The sequence below is a fragment of the Homo sapiens genome, chromosome 4 (genome assembly GCF_000001405.40).
Source record: "Homo sapiens chromosome 4, GRCh38.p14 Primary Assembly".
NCBI lineage: Eukaryota > Metazoa > Chordata > Mammalia > Primates > Hominidae > Homo > Homo sapiens.
In genome coordinates this window covers 112,291,406-112,312,439 of record NC_000004.12, presented here as the reverse complement: position 1 = coordinate 112,312,439, position 21,034 = coordinate 112,291,406, and the positions used below count along the sequence as shown (strand labels likewise).

Genomic DNA, 21,034 nt, shown 5'->3' with positions numbered 1-21,034 from the left:
TTAGCCAGGCGTGGTGGCGGGTGCCTGTAGTCCCAGCTACTCGCGAGGCTGAGGCAGGAGAATGACGTGACCCGGGAGGCGGAGCTTGCAGTGAGCCTAGATCAGGCCACTGCACTCCAGCCTGGGCGACAGAGCAAGACTCCATCTCAAAAAAAAAAAGAATCTAGATTTTTAAAACATTGTATCATTAGAAAGCAAAACAGTATTATTGTAAAAAAATTTTGGAGAAAAATAATATATAAAAGAACATAAGAATTATCTATGATCCTACTAAGAAATAAGCACTATGAATATTTTACAATTTTTTCTTTGTATAGCTATAGTATTTATAATGAAGTTTTAAAAAGTATAAGTTTTCAAAATTTAGCTAAGTATTCTTTGTCTGACTACAATTGACCAGTCTTTGTGCCTCTAGATTGAGATGCCCAGGTGTACTCAGAAATGATTTAGAAAAAAAACACTGTGACCCCCTGTGTGTATTTTGGTGTGTGTGCTTCCTCTCACTCATGTTACAGTTAACTTGGTAATGTTTCTACACGTGCTATCTTCTGTTTTTCTTTCAGCCTTACTTTAAAGCTGGACATCCTCACCACTCTGCCTGCCCCGACCTACTTAACACAAACAACTAACCCCGATAGCCAAGCATCATCAGTGAGTGCTAACCTTTATCAAAACCCTTTCCTAGAAAAAATCTCTGCTATCTTGGTATTGGGCAGGCATGGCGCAGTTGATAGCCGGAAGGAGGGAGTGGGGTAAGGCTAGAACCTCCCCTGGAGCTGGCTGTGAAAGTCAGGAAGGCACCTTGAAGGACAGACAGAGCTTCAGGTCCTTGGGAGAGTGTGCTCTGGCAAGTGTGTCATCTTAGGCAAAGTAGATCTAAACAGAGAATTGGCAGTTCTGGTAACCAGCAGGGTTAGAATGGATTAAGTGCGCAGCCTGAGGTAGAGAGATGGAGTCATGCTAACAGCCTAGCATAGCAAGGAGGTAGAAATAGTAATCATTACCATTTATTGAGTAAATACTGCTACCAATAATAGTCAACTCATAAAACTGTAGTGAGTATTAAGATAATATATATAAGCATTGTAACAGAAAGGCTGACACACAGAACAAGCTTAACAAATACTTATTAAAGAATAATGCATGCCACTTATTGTTATTAACTATCATTATTCAGCACTGGTGAACAGATGAGAGTGTCATTTAGGGTGGGGGAAGGGGGCTGCTTCCTTACATCTTTAAACACTGCCTGCTCATGAATTTCCTCCACCCTATGATCTATTCACTTCATGGTGGATCCCAACCACACAGTAAGTCTCCTGCTTCCAAGTGAGCGCTTTTTTGTATTCGTTGCACACTGGGTAACCTGGGTTCTAATCCTGACTCCATCACAAACCAGCTACGTGTGAACTTGTGCAAGTCACCTTTCCCTGATAGACCTCAGTTTCCTCCTTTCTAAAGCTGGAGATTTTTGCTAAAGTCTTTAAAGTCCCTTTCGATTCTATGATTCTGTAGTGCTACTTCCGCTCTCCCAAAGTTCAGCAGCAAGTGACCAAGGATCAGTGCCAGCCTGGTCTGCTACAGTAGGATATACATAGCACTTAATAATGGCTACTGTTTGTTTTTATCAAGCATTGCTATAAGGGTCTTAATATATTAACTCATTTAATTATCAAAAAAAACTTAAGGAAAATGGACGTTGTTATCCTCATGTTATGGATGAGAAAATTAAGGCCATTAGTGATTAACTTGGTCATGGCCAAAAAGCAAGGAAGAGACAAAGCTGATACTAACACAAGGAGTCAATGTATCATATTAAAAGCATCCTGTACTGCAGGTTCCCATTTACACTTGATAAAGGTAACCTAGATCAGGTGTCATTTTGAATAGATAGTAAAGTCTTGTTTTTAAATAACCTGATAGAACAAGAGCAAAAACTTGGCCATGCTATGGACAACCTGCTTTAAAACACATACCCGCTGATACAGAATCTATGGTATTCATTTTGGGACTCTTTAAATATATTTAAATGGAGCAAATATTCAGGGTGTGTTGTTTTGTTATGCAACACCAAATCAAAGGAGGCATCTGGAAGGATCTGGAGCCTCTCAAATGTTACAACCTTCTACCATCTCTAGTTGAGTAGGTGTTATTATATACTTATAAGAAAATAGATGCAGTTCTCCAAGTGTTATGTTGATGAATTTATGAATTAATTTTTCAATTTAACCCATGGGGAAAATTTCACTTGTGAGCTAGAGAGTTTTAACAGTGGTAAGTCTCATTCAAAGAAAAAAAATTGAGCAGGACAGTAGAGATCCATGAAATTTTATTTATTTAGCAAATCTGTATTGTCCACCTACAATGTGTCATGCATTGGGCTAGGTACTGGGAATTCAGAGATAAAAAGATATAGTCTTGATCTTCAAAAAGAGCTAGTTGTGTACAGAGATGAAGAAATCATCACAATTTATTTCAATAAGTTATTGAGTAGAGAAAATCTCTGGGTCCTAAGAAATGGCTAACCTAACAGGACAAAGTGGCCACTGACTTTAGTAGAAAGCAGTCATGTAAGTCAAGTCTTCCCAGGGGTAGTGATGCTTGAGCTGGGTCTTAGAAATAAAATAGGCCACAAACGAAGGAAATGGTCTTGCAACAAGAAAAGTAATAGTGGTGACAAGAGTATGGCATGGTTGGGAAAAACAAGTAACTTGACACTACTGAAGTTTAGCTTCATCTGGGGTATTGGAGAGGAATAAAAGATGTGGCTGGAAGGTGGCCAAATAGGAACAGCTCCAGTCTACAGCTCCCAGCGTGAGCAATGCAGAAGACGGGTGATTTCTGCATTTCCAACTGAGCAAATGGCATACGAGGAGATTATATCCCACGCCTGGCTCGGAGGGTCCCACACCCACGGAGCCTCGCTCATTGCTAGCACAGCAGTCTGAGATCGAACTGCAGGGTGGCAGCGAGGCTGGGGGAGGGGCGTCTGCCATTGCTGAGGCTTGAGTAGCTAAACAAAGCAGCCTGGAAGCTCAAATTGGGTGGAGCCCACCGTAGCTCAAGGAGGCCTGCCTGCCTCTGCAGACTCTACCTCTGGGGGCAGGGCATAGCTGAACAAAAGGCAGCAGAAACCTCGGCAGACTTAAATGTCCCTGTCTGACAGCTTTGAAGAGAGTAGTGGTTGCCCCAGCACGGAGTTTGAGATCTGAGAACAGACAGACTGCCTCCTCAAGTGGGTCCCTGACCCCCAAGTAGCCTAACTGGGAGGCACCCTCCAGTAAGGGCAGACTGACACCTCACACGGCCAGGTACCCCTCTGAGATGAAGCTTCCAGAGGAACGATCAGGCAGCAACATTTGCTGTTCAGCAATATTTGCTGTTCTGCAGCCTCTGCTGCTGTTACCCAGGCAAACAGGGTCTGGAGTGGTCCTCCAGCAAACTCCAACAGACCTGCAGCTGAGGGTCCTGACTGTTAGAAGGAAAACTAACAAACAGAAAGGACATCCACACCAAAACCCCATCTGTACGTCACCATCATCAAAGACCAAAGGTAGATAAAACCACAAAGATGGGGAAAAAACAGAGCAGAAAAGCTGAAAATTCTAAAAATCAGAGCGCCCCTCCCCCTCCAAAGGAACGCAGCTCCTCTCCAGCAACAGAACAAAGCTGGATGGACAATGACTTTGACGAGTTCAGAGAAGAAGGCTTCAGACGATCAAACTTTTCTGAGCTAAAGGAGGAAGTTCGAACCCATTGCAAAGAAGCTAAAAACCTTGAAAAAAGATTAGACGAATGGCTAACTAGAATAACCAGTGTAGAGAAGTCCTTAAATGACCTGATGGAGCTGAAAACCATGGAACAAGAAATATGTGATGAATGCACAAGTTTCAGTAGCCGATTCGATCAACTGGAAGAAAGGGTATCAGTGATTGAAGATCAAATGAATGAAATGAAGTGAAAAGAGAAGTTTAGAGAAAAAAGAGTAGAAAGAAATGAATAAAGCCTCCAAGAAATATGGGACTATGTGACAAGACCAAATCTATGTCTGATTGGTGTACCTGAGAGTGACGGGGAGAATGGAACCAAGTTGGAAAACACTCTGCAGGATATTATCCAGGACAACTTCCCCAACCTAGCAAGGCAGGCCAACATTCAAATTCAGGAAATACAGAGAAAGCCACAAAGATACTCCTTGAGAAGAGCAACTCCAAGACACATAATTGTCAGATTCACCAAAGTTGAAATGAAGGAAAAAATGTTAAGGGCGGCCAGAGAGAAAGGTTGGGTTACCCACAAAGGGAAGCCCATCAGACTAACAGCTGATCTCTCGGCAGAAACTCTACAAGCCAGAAGAGAGTGGGGGCCAATATTCAACATTCTTAAAGAAACGAATTTTCAACCCAGAATTTCATTTTCAGCCAAACTAAGCTTCATAAGTGAAGGAGAAATAAAATCCTTTACAGACAAGCAAATGCTGAGAGATTTTGTCACCACCAGGCCTTCCCTAAAAGAGCTCCTGAAGGAAGCACGAAACATGGAAAGGAAAAACCAGTACCAGCCACTGCAAAAACATGCCAAATTGTAAAGACCATCAATGCTAGGAAGAAACTGCATCAACTAATGAGCAAAATAACCAGCTAACATTATAATGACAGGGTCAAATTCACACATAACAATATTAGCCTTAAATGTAAATGGGCTAAATGCTCTAATTAAAAGACACAGACTGGCAAATTGGATAAGGAGTCAAGACCCATCAGTGTGCTGTATTCAGGAGACCCATCTCATGTGCAGAGACACACATAGGCTCAAAATAAAGGGATGGAGAAAGATCTACCAAGCAAATGGAATACAGAAAAAGGCAGGGGTTGCAATCCTAGTCTCTGATAAAACAGACTTTAAACCAACAAAGATCAAAAGAGACAAGGCCATTACATAATGGTAAAGGGATCAATTCACCAAGAAGAGCTAACTATCCTAAATATATATGCACTCAATACAGGAGCACCCAGATTCATAAAGCAAGTCCTTAGAGACCTACAAAGAGACTTAGACTCCCACACAATAATAACGGGAGAGTTTAACACCCCACTGTCAACATTAGACAGATCAACGAGACAGAAAGTTAAAAAGGATATCCAGGAATTGAACTCAGCTCTGCACCAAGCGGACCTAATAGACATCTACACAACTCTCCACCCCAAATCAACAGAATATACATTCTTCTCAGCACCACATCACACTTATTCCAAAACTGACCACATAGTTGGAAGTAAAGCAAGCCTCAGCAAATGTAAAAGAACAGAAATTATAACAAACTGTCTCTCAGACCACAGTGCAATCAAACTAAAACTCAGGATTAAGAAACTCACTCAAAACCGCTCAACTACATGGAAACTGAACAACCTGCTCTTGAATGACTACTGGGTACATAATGAAATGAAGGCAGATATAAAGATGTTCTTTGAAACCAATGAGAACAAAGACACAACATACCAGAATCTCTGGGACACATTTAAAGTAGAGTGTAGAGGGAAATTTATAGCACTAAATGCCCACAAGAGGAAGCAGGAAAGATCTTAAATTGACATCCTAACATCACAATTAAAAGAACTAGAGAAGCAAGGGCAAACACATTCAAAAGCTAGCAGAAGGCAAGAAATAACTAAGATCAGAGCAGAACTAAAGGAGATAGAGACACAAAAAACCCTTCAAAAAAATCAATGAATCCAGGAGCTGGTTTTTTGAAAAGATCAACAAAATTGATAGACCACTAGCAAGACTAATAAAGAAAAAAAGAGAGAAGAATCAAATAGATGCAATAAAAAATGATAAAGGGGATATCACCACCGATCCCACAGAAATACAAACTACCATCAGAGAATACTATAAACACCTCTATGCAAATAAACTAGAAAATCTAGAAGAAATGGATAAATTCCTCGACACATACACCCTCCCAAGATTAAACCAGGAAGAAGTTGAATCCCTGAATTGACCAATAACAGGCTCTGAAATTGAGGCAATAATTAATAGCTTACCAACCAAAAAGAGTCCAGGACCAGACAGATTCACAGCGGAATTCTACCAGAGGTACAAAGAGGGGCTGGTACCATTCCTTCTGAAACTATTCCAATCAATAGAAAAAGAGGGAATCCTCCCTAACTCATTTTATGAGGCCAGCATCATCCTGATACCAAAGCCTGGCAGAGACACAACAAAAAAAGAGAATTTTAGACCAATATCCCTGATGAACATCGATGCAAAAATCCTCAATAAAATACTGGCAAACCAAATCCAGCAGTGCATCAAAAAGCTTATCCACCATGATCAAGTGGGCTTCATCCCTGGGATGCAAGGCTGGTTCAACATACATAAATCAATAGATGTAATCCAGCATATAAATAGAACCAAAGACAAAAACCACATGATTATCTCAATAGATGCAGAAAAGGCCTTTGACAAAAGTCAACAGCCCTTCATGCTAAAAACTCTCAATAAATTAGGTATTGATGGGATGTATTGCAAAATAATAAGAGCTATCTATGACAAACCCACAGCCAATATCATACTGAATGGGCAAAAACTGGAAGCATTCCCTTTGAAAACTGGCACAAGACAGGGATGCCTTCTCTCACCACTCCTATTCAACATAATGTTGGAAGTTCTGGCCAGGGCAGTCAGGCAGGAGAAAGACATAAAGGGTATTCAATTAGGAAAAGAGGAAGTCAAATTGTCCCTGTTTGCAGATGACGTGACTGTATATCTGGAAAACCCCATCGTCTCAGCCCAAAATCTCCTTAAACTGATAGGCAACGTCTGCAGTCTCAGGATACAAAATCAATGTGCAAAAATCACAAGCATTCTTATACACCAATAACAGACAAACAGAGAGCCAAATCATGAGTGAACTTCCATTCACAATTGCTTCAAAGAGAATAAAATACCTAGGAATCCAACTTACAAGGGATGTGAAGGACCTCTTCAAGGAGAACTACAAACCACTGCTCAATGAAATAAAAGAGGACACAAACAAATGGAAGAACATTCCATGCTCATGGATAGGAAGAATCAATATCGTGAAAATGGCCATACTGCCCAAGGTAATTTATAGATTCAATGCCATCCCCATCAAGCTACCAATGACTTTCTTCACAGAATTGGAAAAAACTACTTTAAAGTTCATATGGAACCAAAAAAGAGCCCACATCACCAAGACAATCCTAAGCCAAAAGAACAAAGCTGGAGGCATCATGCTACCTGACTTCAAACTATACTACAAGGCTACGGTAACCAAAACAGCATGGTACTGGTACCAAAACAGAGATATAGATCAATGGAACAGAACAGAGCCCTTAGAAATAATACCACACCTCTACAACCATCTGATCTTTGACAAACCTGACAAAAACAAGAAATGGGGAAAGGAGTCCCTATTTAATAAATGGTGCTGGGAAAACTGGCTAGCCATATGTAGAAAACTGAAACTGGATCCCTTCCTTACACCTTACACAAAAATTAATTCAAGATGGATTAAAGACTTAAACGTTAGACCTAAATCCATAAAAACCCTAGAAGAAAACCTAGGCATTACCATTCAGGACATAGGCATGGGCAAGGACTTCATGTCTAAAACACCAAAAGCAATGGAATAAAAGCCAAAATTGACAAATGGGATCTAATTAAACTAAAGAGCTTCTGCACAGCAAAAGAAACTACCATCAGAGTGAACAGGCAACCTACAGAATGGGAGAAAATTTTTGCAATCTACTTATTTGACAAAGGGCTAATATCCAGAATCTACAAAGAACTTGGACAAACTTACAAGAAAAAAACAAACAACCCCATCAAAAAGTGGGTGAAGGATATGAACAGACTCTTCTCAAAAGAAGACATTTATGCAGCCAACAGACACATGAAAAAATGCTCATCATCACTGGCCATCAGAGAAATGCAAATGAAAACCACAATGAGGTACCATCTCACACCAGTTAGAATGGCAATCATTAAAAAGTCAGGAAACAACAGGTGCTGGAGAGGATGTGGAGAAATAGGAACACTTTTACACTGTTGGTGGGACTGTAAACTAGTTCAACCATTGTGGAAGACAGTGTGGCATTTTCTCAAGGATCTAGAACTAGAAATGCCATTTGACCCCGCCATCCCATTACTGGGTATATACCCAAAGGATTATAAATCATGCTGCTATAAAGACACATGCACACGTATGTTTATTGTGGCACTATTCACAATAGCAAAGACTTGGAACCAATCCAAGTGTCCATCAATGATAGACTGGATTAAGAAAATGTGGCACATATACACCATGGAATACTATGCAGCCATAAAAAAGGATGAGTTCATGTCCTTTATAGGGACCTGGATGAAGCTGGAAACCATCATTCTCAGCAAACTATCGCAAGGACAAAAAACCAAACACCCCATGTTCTCACTCATAGGTGGGAACTGAACAATGAGAACACTTGGACACAGGAAGGGGAACATCACACACCGGGGCTTGTAGTGGGGTTGGGGAATGGGGGAGGGATAGCATTAGGAGATATACCTAATGTAAATGACGAGTTAATGGGTGCAGCACACCAACACAGCACATGTATACATATATAACAAACCTGCATGTTGTGCACATGTACCCTAGAAACAAACCTGCATGTTGTGCACATGTACCCTAGAACTTAAAGTATGATTAAAAAAAAAAAAGATGTGGCTGGGGAAGCATGTCGCTGGGAGATCAAGAAGGCTATAAAGATATGTGCTCAGAAAAGGAGGCATCTGAACAGCATGATCTGATACAAATTGTTCAAAAACAGCCCTGCACCCAGACTAGAGACGGAGGAGATCACGGTATGGTGCAGGATGCTGATGGCCTGAACCAAGTGAGAATGGATCGATATGGTAGATTCAAAAGACATTCAGAGAATGGAATCAGTGTGACTTCAAAATTGATTAGCTATTGTTGATTAAATAAAAAAGACATCTAGGGTGACTTCAAAGTTTTTGGCTTGGCTGAATTTGGGGTGAATTTTAGTGCCAGATAGCAATATAAAAATTACTGGTGGAGGCAGTAAATGATGAATCCAATTTTGAAAATGTTAGAAGTGAGATGCCTGTGGAATACAGAGTAGAAATGGTAAGTAGGCATTTGGATAGGAGTCTAGACTCAGGGAGAGGAATGGCAGGGCCTTTAATATATTAGTGTTAAGTACATCCAAGGTGAACACACAGTAAGAGAGAAAGAGGGTAGAGAACAGAATCTAACATGTATAATGGGGCAGAGAAAGAGAATAGAGAAGTAAGAGCAGCCAGAGATGTGGGAGGAAGATCAGAAGATCAGATGTGGCAGGAAGATCACTCAAGGTGATATGGAAACCAAAGGAGGGAATTTAGAGAAAAAGTGTTAGTATCATAATAGTGTCATAATTTTAGAAAGAGAGACAGAGAAAATAAAGTCTAAAAAGCAGCCTTTGTGTTTGTCTCCTGGGAAGCCTCTGATACATGAATGTAAGTAAGTTCAGGGCAAATGCCAGATTGCAGGGAGGTAGAAGTAAAAGGTGAAGAAATGGAGCCGAGGAGTAGAGGCTTGTCTATGGAGGAATGTGGCTGAGAGGCACAGGAGAGAAAGGGAAGTAGACCAAGAGGGATGTAGCTGCAAAAAGGGGTTTGTTTGTTTGTTTGTTTGCTTGCTTTTTTCAGGATACTCACACTTAAGCATGCTTACTGCCGCAGCAGAGGGCTGAGAAGGCAGCGTCCTCCTGAAAGAGGAAAAAGGAAGGGGACAGACTCCAGTTGTAAGGATTGGTTTGCCTTGCCTTGGGGAGGCAGGACACACTTTTTACTGAAACAGACAGGAAAAAGGCAGAGGTGCTCTGGTTGCGTGAGGTTTTTAAGTAGAGGGCAGGGGAGGGGGAGGAAGGAAGTTGATGGAGTTACCTGCTTTTGGGCTGAGAGTAAGAAGTGAGGTGGCAGAACTGGAGCTTGAGGAGAATGAAAAACCTTCAGTAGAGTACCTGAGAGGAGTGGCCCGGGAAGCTGCCCATCAACAAGTAGAGGGATCTCCAGGTAGCACCAAGGGTCCAGCTGAGAGTGTGACCAAGAATTTTAGTGTCATTAATTGTGTGGAGTTTTCTCCAGAAGCCTTTAGGCTTTATCCTTTATTAAGCACTTACGATTGTGCTTAGTAATTATGCTTAAGGACTGAGGGGCCTGTGGGAACAGGTAAGTGATGGCTCAGAGGAATGGTGACTGGGAGAAATGAGGGCAGGGACCAGCACCTAGAGGTCTTGACAGATGGGCTAATGAAAGCAGAGATGAAGAAAGAGGGCTGTTTTTTAGGGAGTTGGATACTGAAGTATAAAATTTGAGAGCTAGACCCTGTCTCAGGGACTGTAAGCTCCAGGATGTGAATCTGAGAGTCAGTGGTGAGGGAGGAGAAGGGTTTTGGAGAGAGAGGTCATCGAGTGAAGGTTCAGTTGTCCACAAAGACACTGTAATTGGATGATGGGAGGATATGGGGTGAAAATGCATCTGTAAGTCGATAGCTCACTCAGGCTCTAAAATGTGAGCCTAGCCCAGGACGTAGAACTTGCAATGAGCCGTGATCACAATCACATCACTGCACTCCAGCCTGGGCAGCAGAGTGAGACCCTGTCAAATAAATAAATAAATAAGTAAATAAAATGTGAGACTGCTGATACAGAATATACGGTATCTTCTGTATCCCATGTATCAAATGCCCCAGAGGATTTCTCTTCCTACAAGTCTCTATCACAAGTGCTTGTTGAACATTCTGGTGAGAACATGTGCTTGGGAATAAGGTGATCAGAGGTCACTTTACTGAGTGAAAATATATTCAAGGGATGTGCCCCAAGAAGACCCCACAGAGAGCTAGAAAGAGCAGAAAGCTAGAAGGAGAGCCTAACCTTATCTACATAATGGTGCAGGAGTCTGTATAGCATGGAATTAACACAGTAAGGGCGCTTCTAACAGTTGCTGAGCTGCCCTGGCAAGCTGCGCCTTCAGAAGCCTAAACCAAGTTTCTCATGTCCCAAGGAAGAGGGTAGGTTTAGAGTAACAGGAAATCTGGGCTCAAAGGTCTTCAAATGTTGCTTATTGAGTAACCTGCAATCTTCAGAAGTGTATGTCAAACCTAATACATTAATATATCAAAAGAGATGTTACCACTTACAGTTTATTATCTTTCACAATAATTATTTGGGGCATGACCTCAGGGAAGAAAATTTCTCGGTAATGATATAGTTATCTTGGAAAATGATGACGGGCTGACCAGCAGTGTCCAAACTTTAATTAGAGCTGAAGTTACTGTGAAGAAATGCCAACTAAAAGGACACATGATGAGGTTCTAAATTTTTTTTTTGTAGAAAAAAAGGTAATTATGAATGGACAAGGCTTTTGCTGGCAATTCTGCAGATATTTTGGGTGCATATTATGCACTGATGGAGAATGCACCACAGTAACCAGATGTGCTGGGGTTAAGGTCAAAGCAGTGCTGGTGAGCCAATGACACAGTGCATTTTGAGGTGCAGTAGGAGTATATACAAAGACATGACAAAATTGAATATAAGTACAATATGTGCAGATATAAATTACTAAATCCAAAATATGGAAATCCATAAGAACAAGAAATGAGTTAAGAGGTTATTTGCACACAGGTCAGGCCAAATTTCCATTCCCCCTTCCCTGCCTTTTTTTTTTTTATCTTTAAGCCAAAAGAATTATTAGACTGAAGTAAAAGCTACAGTTGACAGAGAAGCAATCAACACAAGAAAAATGAACCAATAGTAAGTGTTTCAACTGGTATTTCCTTCTCTGTTCACTGACTCCGCTGCACCTGTTTGTTCCTAGCACTGAGACTCCGTCCTCTCTTCTTTCACATAGCTGGTTATTTGTATGCCAAATAAAAAGAAGGAAAAACTTTTATCTTCCAAAGCTGCATAGTTTTATTTACTATATATTATTAGCAATATAGTTCTATTTAATAAACTATATTTGTTTTCTCAAAAAAGATATAAGTATATTATATAATAATTTAAAAATTTTTTGTAAGAATATCATGTTATGTAGAAAGAAATAGAAGGAAGGGAAAGAATCTATCACTGTAAGACAACAATCACTTTTAGAATATTTCTGAATTTATATCTATACCATTTTATGTAAATACTTGCATGCATACAAGTTATTCAATCCTGAGTCTGTTTTTCACTTAGTATTTTCTGTGCTGGTACTATTTTTTATCCTATCATGTTTTATGGGTACAGTATCTTTTGCTTAACCTCCCCCTTTTATGAGAATGCTTGCAATTATTTGTTATTACGACTTTATGATGAACATGTTTGCGAATTTTTCCCTTGTCTAGAATTATTTCCCCCTTAGGATGGATTCCCAGAAATGAAATTATTGCATATAGCCATTGGCACATACTATGACCCATTAGTAGCCCTTGATCTAGATAATGTTTAAAGTCCCCCCTGGCCCCTGAGTTCAGAAGTTCAGTGAAACAAGCAGAATGAACCTGTAGTATTCAAGCTGAGACATTTCACCCTTTCTATCACTCTTATTTGAAAAAGTATTGGCTATCTTCTGCATCCCTTCAATTATATGATAATTTACGAGGAAATATAATAGTTTATTAGGCTACAGGTGTGATAAACGTTTGATAAAATATTTCTCTGTCAAATACTTTGTACATCTATACTTAGGAAATTGAACAGATTGCATTGTCAACTGAGCTCTGTAACCAAGGCCCAGTAAAATTCAAAGATACTGCACTGGCTAAGAAAATATCCACTTCTCAAATGCATTAGTGTAGCATGTCTGAAACTTTAGCCATTTGCATGCCATCTTCATAATTTTTGCCAAATCTGCAGATTACCTGTAATATTATTTATTTAATCATTTCCTTAAAATCAATAGTAAATTAGCTCAACTTCTTACTTAACACTTTCCTGAACAACAGTATTCATGAAATTCTAGGTTTTATAAGCAAATTATGTTAATTTATATTAAGCTAGCAAATAACTCAAAATTTTGAAGTTTAGACATGTACTGCCTAAAATCAGTAGCATGTATACCATACTTAGGAAAAGTTGTATTTGTATGTATCTGATATTTAAGTTATAATCATCTCTTCTTTTCTTCAGACATAGAAGAATGATAGCACCAGATAATATTCTTTCTTTTAAGTTTGTCTATCCCACAGTTCTCTATAAATAAAGCATATTACAACATTCTGCAAAAACAGTTGTCACCATCAATAACAAGAAACAAAGACTCCCCCATATAGAGAGGCAACAAATACAATACAAAATACAAAAAAAACAAAAATATGGAATATATTTTCACCAAAAGTTTAAATGCTCATTCCTTTAAGAGTTCTTCAATCCATAGATATTCAAAATTTCAAGAAAGAAAATCATTTACAATGAACAGCTTATGCCAAAAAGCCATCATTCTCTGCAATAGATTAGAGAATAATAAAAGCAATTCATGCCTTGTGTTCATGGGAAAGGGATCAGTAAAATTGTTTGGAATAGAAGGAGCCATGGAATTTCAGAAATATCTTGAAATGCACAAACTTATTCTTAAGGAAAACTTCAGGCTCTAAATCCAAACCTAGATCACATGGCACTTGCTGGGAGGTATTGTTACAGCTTAACACATCAGCAAAGCTCATCACAGTATTATTATATATGATAATGCCTAATATCCATCATAATTTACACATGCCTTTTCTTTACAGTTTAAAATAGATTTTGAAAAGTTTAAAGTAATTATTGGCTTCCTACTCATGCAGATAGAGATGCTATACAATTTTGGTGTCTTCTTGGCGGAAGAAATTTGAGAGATTCATCTCAGATTTAAAAGATCTTTGATATGGGGAATAAGTTATTTCTAAAATAAGTTTAAGTATTTTGTTTCTCTTGAGGCTTGAGGTTGATGGGGTGGGAAGGAGGTGGGAAGAGAGAAGTAAATTGTTTCGGTCAGCAGACAAGGACTGGACTTGACATTGGTTCTAGAGACTAGAGTGTATCCCAAGTGCATAAATTATACCCCAAATTAAATGGATATTGTTTCTTATAAGAGAATTAGTGGCACAAAGTAAAAAGAAAGTAAAAGGGAGAGAGAGAGAGACAGAGAGAGAGAGAAATATATATCGCAAGCAGAGATGCTATTATATTGTGGCATAAAGTCCTCTCCTTCCTGATCCTGCCTGTTTGTACCCTCACCCATCCTCAAATCCCAAACCATCTTAAAGGTTTTAATTTGTGGCTTTTCAAAGTACTCTAAAGTACTAATTTCAAACACTAGAATTTTTTAATTAAAGGATTTTTCTAAATAGACATGCAAAGGAATTTAATTTTTCTGGATGCTTTGTCTCTAAACAATGCTTCCACGCACTCAGAATTCCCGTCAATTCACCCATATGAGACGAGTAAGTCTCGTGCCTTATCTACCTGTTTCCTAGCAAAATTACTGATGCTGTCATAAAAGTGGTAGTTTCTATTATTACCTATGTATTCCAGGCAAAAGTCATAGAGTTTTTTTTTAAACAAATAATCCTAACAATCCTTTAATTAAACATCTCAGTTAAGTGACAAGACCAGAAGCTCAGTGACTTAAGAAACTTGTTATTAAAACCTTATGAAAAACTGGTTTGCCTTCTCCCCTTCATAATGACTACAGTTTACCATTGTAGGTAACTTTTCCCTTCTCTCCCTCCCCTTCCCCACTCCACCCCCTTCACCCCACCAACTCATCCTCCCCTTTCTGGAAAGTTTCTATTATAGAAGTGCAAAGGTTCTTAGAGCTCTAAAGTTATTTAAATATAAACAAGATCAGCAGATGGAAACTGAGTCAACACTTAAGACAAATACTTCCTCATATATTATGCCATCTACTGCGTTTTGTCATTTAAAGGATGATACTCACTTTTATCTTAAAGAGGAAAAGTACTTTAAGACCAGCAAATCTAACTCTGAGCAGAGTTAATTCTGGTACAGCCTCTCTGAAACACACTGTTTCTCATAAACGGCTTCAGTTTCAGGAAGTAGGAATTAAAAAAAAAAAAACAACCAATCCTGTGACTGTCTCAGAATATGGTTGTGTAATTCAATTCCGGGACTTTCAGCAATCTTGCACCATAAGACACACCCCTTTAGGAATTGCTTCGGTGAAAGGTATTCTGGGAGCTGTATTACTACAGAAAAGTTCCTTCTCCTAATGAAAGTGCAAGAAAAACTTATTATTTAGACTAAGAATGGAGAGTCCTCTTAGAGCCAAGAAGAGAGAATGTCAGTAAGAAACAATGAATATGACATTGTTGAAATCTGTTAGCAAAAGACAGATGCACATTAAGGCTTCATTCTGTGCTCTGTCTTAGAAGTGAGCTTGTTATCACAGAGACACATATATTGCTGAACTGGAAAATAAAGTTAGGACTTTTTGGATAGAATATCTGATTAGGCTGACTAGTTTGACAGTGAAAAGTGTCTTATTGAGTTACACAGTGGACATTGTCCTTCCATGGAACAACTGAAATCTGCAACTCGAAATTTTGACAAAAAAATCAAAAGTACCTAAGATTTCTAAATGTCAAAATATATTTTATTGGAAAAGTTATTGACATAAACAATATTTTAATTTTCTCAATCCTTTTTGAGCCTGCTGGGTTAAAGAAGTTTCCTCTAGAGTGAAGGAATAATAGGTTTTATTAATAGTCATTTGATACATTTTGGTAAAGCCTTTGGTATACTTCCTAGAAACTGAGAGAGTGAAGGACTCCAAAAGCTGGGTCATAAATGCTTTGGCAAGTCAATTGTTTACAACAAAATAGGAGGAAATAGTTGAATAGTCAGTTGCTCGATCACTTAAAACACATTTTTTTTGTGTGATAGATCGCTATGTAATGTTTAATATATGACCTTAGAAGTTTAAATAACCAAATGGCATTGCTATAACAAAATTCTATCTCTATTTATTTATGTAAACACAGTTCCTCTCCTCTTCCATGTGTATATTTTTGTGGAATGTTGTTTTATTCCAACTATAAGTAACATTCAGCTGTGAATTAATTTTTTAAAACTCCAGAAATCTTATGGAGAAGTGACACTTGAATAAATTTTATCACTTAATATTCATCAAAACGTACCATTTTATTTTTGTCTTCTTCATCAATTATGAATCAATACTTGTACAATTCAATCTTTAAGAAAGTTTAATACTTAGAGTCTATGGTCACAGAAAACAGAAATGTTTAATTTCTTTTTTCTTTTCTATTTTTTTTTTTTTTTTTGAGATGGAGTTTCGCTCTTGTTGCCCAGGCTGGGGTGCAGTGGCACAATCTCGGCTCGCTGCAGCCTCTGCCTCCTGGGTTCAAACGATTCTCCTGCCTCAGCCTTCCGAGTAGCTGGGATTACAGGTGCCTGCCAGCACGCCCAGCTAATTTTTTGTATTTTTAGTAGAGGTGGGGCTTCACCATGTTGGCCAGGCTGGTCTCGAACTCCTGACCTCAGGTCTGTCTGCCTCGGCCTCCCAAAGCACTGGGATTACAGGTGTGAGCCACCACACCCAGCCAGAAAGGTTTAATTTCAATATATACTTTTTTTGAGAGACATGTTGCCCAGGCTGGAGTGCAGTGGCATGATCTCTGTTCACTGCAACCTCTGCCTCCTGGGTTCAAGCGATTCTCCTGCCTCAGCTTCCCAAGTAACTGGGACTACAGGCACCCGCCACCACGCCCAGCTAATTTTTGTATTTTAGTAGAGACAGGGTTTCACCATATCGGCCAGGCTGGTCTCGAACTCCTGACCTCTGGTGATCTGCCTGCCTTCGCTTCCCAAAGTGCTGGGATTACAGGCTTGAGCCACTGCACCCGGCCTACATATTTTTACTGTAAAGAAATATGACAAAAACTTTCAAGTATATAAACTGTTTTATACTAGGATAAACTTCTATGGATGAAGTGAAATGAAACAGAAGGTTACGGAAATACAGGAATGATATAAAATTTCCAATTGTTAAAAAAGATTTGTACATGTGTCTTTATTTTTAAATTTTTTAAATTTTAAACTTTTTTGAGATAGGGCTGTCACCTGGGCTGGAATGCAGTGGCACAATCACAGCTCACTGCAGCCTTGACCTCCTGGTCTCAAGTGATCCTCCTGCTTCAGCCTCCCAGGTAGCTGGGACCACAGGTGTACACCATCACACCTGGCTAATTTTTGTTTTTGTTTTTTTGTTTGTTTGTTTTTTGTAAAGACAGTGTTTCTCCATGTTGTCCAGACTGGTCTCGAACTCCTGGGCTCAAGTGATCTACCCATCTCAGCCTCCCAAAGTGTTGGGACTATGGGAGTGAGCCACTGCGCCCAGCCTGTACATGCGTTTTTAAATGGATGATGGGGAACATCAAATCACTAGGATATAAAATTTGTGTTGGATACATTTAAAAGAGTAATGTATGAGTTATGTTTATTCAACGTCAGATTTAGACCCTTTGTATCTAAAGTTATAATGAAAGATGAATATCGACTTTATGTGAAGGAATTATTGTCTTTGCAAAATTCTATTTGGGGGTAGGGGAGCAAAAATGTTGGAAATACAGTGTTTAGGATGAAGGGCTGTACATTTCAGAGCCTAAAAAAGGGCACTGTACACCTGAGTATGGAGAGAAAGGCAATGGCACTGATAGAAGAGGAGGGATCTCATAGGAGATATTATCTTTCTTACAGTTTGGACAACAGTCAGATTGTCTTCAACAGGGATTCCTGGTAAGATCCTTAGAGTCATGTAAAACACAAAGACAAAATGGCTCATTTATAATCCAGTGGTGAGTTTTAGTAAGATTTCAAAGATGGAAGTTTCATTACACAAATTTCAACTATTTTAAGTGATTGAGATGTACACCTATATAAGGAATACATTATGACACGCAGGAAAACTGGCTGCAGCATCATACTCATTTTGATTTTCTAGGATTTATCATCTTGAATATAAAATATAAAATGCTGATACAAGCTGACATCATTCGTTCATCTCAATAACATGTTTAGGGAATCTTTTGTGTCAAGTGCTACATTGGTGCTACAGATTCAGACTGTGCACACAAGCAATGCACTTAAGGCAATCACAGTGACTGATGGATTAGTAGTGATGTGGCCAGAAATTAGTTGGAAAAAATTGGCAAGAGTTGGCTCATAATAGGAGGTCTTTGTGTTTCATTTTAAGGAGTTTGGATATTTATATTGACAACATAGAAAATTTGGGCCAGGCGTGGTGGCTCACGCCTGTAATCCCAGCACTCTGAGAGGCCGAGGCGGGCGGATCACGAGGTCAGGAGTTCAAGACCAGCCTGGCCAAGATGGTGAAACCTTGTCTCTACTAAAAATACAAAAATTAGCTGGGCGTGGTGGCGGATGCCTGTAGTCACAGCTACTTGGGAGGCTGAGGCAGAGAATTTCTTGAACCCGGGAGGTGGAGGTTGCAGTGAGGCAAGATTGCGCCACTGCACTCCAGCCTGGGCAACAGAGCAAGACTCCATCTCAAGAAAAAAAAAAACAACAGAAAACAGAAAATTTCAAAGAATGTAAAATCATAAAACTGTTTTAGAAAGAATACTTACTGTTGTGGGAAGGTTGGAGTATGGAGCAAGGTTCATGCAAGGGAGGGATCCTGGTGGTGGGTGGATTAGGAGGCAAGACTGGAATTAGGAAAATGAGTTAGAAGAGTACTGCAGTATTGTAGAGAGAAGTGATGACTAGCCTTAATTAATGGCAGTAGCAATGGAATAAAAAGGAAGGGAAAGAAATATTTAGGAAATAGAATCACAGGCCTGGGTGAGAGACACAGAAATATGGGTAAATGACTTAGAGGCAGTCAAAAAACTATAATTGTAGTTAGATATTACCAAAGGGGAATGTACAGGATAGAAAGAAGGCCACAGAGGTGGAAGTTGGTAATACTGGCATTCACGCAGAAAAAGAGAGATCCATAGAGGAGATGGGTAAAGAACGCTTAGAACAGTAGTAAAAAAACCAAAACAAAGTATATCCTAAAAACAGGACTGGCAAGAGACTTTGCAGGGCCTCTTGTTCAAAAATATTAAGCATTTCAGGTTGATGATAGCCGATATAAGCATGGGACTCTGAGTGCAGGGCCCTATGGATTGCACAGGTCACACACTCAGGAAAGCCTGCTTAAAAGCCAAGTAGATGGAAGTGACAGTGTCAATGAAGTGAAATTGGTCAACAAGAACAAATGATGCAGAGAAGTGAAGTAGGACGAGAACAGAAAAGTGTCCTTTGGCTTGGCAAGTAGGTCAAGGATGGATATAACAAGAACAAATCAGTAAAGCAGTGGCAGAAAGCAGATGATGGACTATTTTAAAAATCCTAGGCCGGGCGCGGTGACTCATGCCTGTAATCCCAGCACTTTGGGAGGCCGAGGCGAGTGGATCACCTGAGGTCAGGAGTTCGAGAACAGCCTGACCAACATGGTGAAACCCCATCTCTACTAAAAATACAAAATTAGCCAGGGGTGGTGGTGGGCACCTGTAGTCCCAGCTACTCAGGAGACTGAGGCAGGAGAATCGCTTGAACCCAGGAGATGGAGATTGCAGTGAGCCGAGATCACACCACTGCACTCCAGCCTGGGCAACAAGAGTGAGATTCCATCTCAAAAACAAACAAACAAACAAACAAACCTAGTAAGATGAATAAGTAGAGTCGGATGAGAATCTTCCAATTGAAGCCTAGATTAAGTAAAATATACAGGTGGTACATACTTTGAGAAGGGGCTATATCCTTCCGAGGGTCCTTCAGCGTTGTAGGAAGATGAGTTCAAGGTCACCTTAACCATTTTAATATGTAATAAACTTGAAGGCCCCAGATATCAGAGAATAGTGACATTTCTATGGGGATAGGAACTAGAATGCCATTCTGGAACTTTCTTTTCAGATTTACATACCTAGTTGACAGCACAATGAGGATAAACACAAAGAGAGAATCAGAAAGATGGACGAGAAAAGAACTTAGTCCAGATATGGCACTTCTCTGAGCCAACTTTTGCTATTTTACTTTATGAGGAAATAAAATCATTGGGTTAAAAATGTATATCTTATGATCCCTCATTAGTGGTTTAAAATGTTGTTCCTTGTTGGGAAGCTAGTAATTCATAGCATGGTGGTTTACACCTGCAATCCTAGCACTTTGGGAGGCTGAGGCTGGTGGATCCCTTGAGTCCAGGAGTTTGAGAACAGCCTGGGCAACGTGGCAAAACTCCATCTCTACAAAAAATACAAAAATTAGCCAGGCAGGTGTAGTCTCAGCTACTTAGGAGGCTGAGGTGGGAGAAGCCAAGGTGGTTGAGGCTGCGGTGAGCCATGATTGTGCCACTGCACTCCAGCCTGAGCAACAGAGAGAGACTCTGTTTCAAAAAATAAAATAAAATAAAAGTTAAAGGAAAAGTACTAACACTTGAAGTATAAAAATATAAATACTTAAATGTAACATTAAAGAAGGGGAGAGGTTTTTTTGTTTGTTGATTTTTACTAAAAATTACACTGACGAGTACTATTTGAGAAAGTTTAGATTCAACAAGGAAAAAATCAAGTTACTCGGTTTGAGGGGAGTATACGACAGGTAGAAATAATGTATTCCCCCAATCAGTTCCTCCCATGCTTGCCTACATGGCCTCAAGCCCTCATAATGAGTGACTGGGGGCTTTAGGCCAGAAAAAGTTGAGGACCCTCATAATTGACTGGGACCCTCTAACAAAAGCAACTATGTTAGCTTTTTAAATTGCGCATAACAGGTTGCTACAAAGTTAGCAGCTTAAAACAGCACTTATTAAACTATCTGTAAAATATATACAAATGAAGATGCATTTTACACATCTATAAATGGTGTCATAACTAGAGCATGGATGTTATATAAGTTTTTTTAATAACTTAGAGGAAAAATGAAGGTTCTATGATATACAAAAAACCAAACAACACTCA

At 39.5% G+C, this 21,034-nt stretch overlaps 1 protein-coding gene across 3 annotated transcripts in view, besides 3 other annotated features; it reads right to left on the bottom strand.

Annotated features, from left to right (window-relative positions):
• The window catches only part of ALPK1 (alpha kinase 1), a 145,253-nt gene extending 130,182 nt beyond the window's left edge, over positions 1 to 15,071 (bottom strand). For all 3 annotated transcript variants that reach the window (NM_025144.4, NM_001102406.2, NM_001253884.2), the window contains exon 1: positions 14,971 to 15,071. The gene's annotated coding sequence lies outside the window, so the exon portion shown is untranslated. The remainder of the gene's footprint in view (positions 1 to 14,970) is intronic.
• Positions 2,560 to 3,059: an enhancer, noted in NCBI's record as "NANOG-H3K4me1 hESC enhancer chr4:113230537-113231036 (GRCh37/hg19 assembly coordinates)". NCBI's record gives its function as "activates a minimal SCP1, AML or CMV promoter by ChIP-STARR-seq in naive and primed H9 embryonic stem cells {active_cell/tissue: H9 hESC(naive and primed)}" and the evidence as "EXISTENCE:reporter gene assay evidence [ECO:0000049][PMID:30033119]".
• Positions 3,060 to 3,561: an enhancer, noted in NCBI's record as "NANOG-H3K4me1 hESC enhancer chr4:113230035-113230536 (GRCh37/hg19 assembly coordinates)". NCBI's record gives its function as "activates a minimal SCP1, AML or CMV promoter by ChIP-STARR-seq in naive H9 embryonic stem cells {active_cell/tissue: H9 hESC(naive)}" and the evidence as "EXISTENCE:reporter gene assay evidence [ECO:0000049][PMID:30033119]".
• Positions 15,013 to 15,307: an enhancer, noted in NCBI's record as "tiled region #9995; K562 Activating DNase unmatched - State 1:Tss". NCBI's record gives its function as "activates a minimal TATA promoter and a strong SV40 promoter by Sharpr-MPRA in K562 cells {active_cell/tissue: K562}" and the evidence as "EXISTENCE:reporter gene assay evidence [ECO:0000049][PMID:27701403]".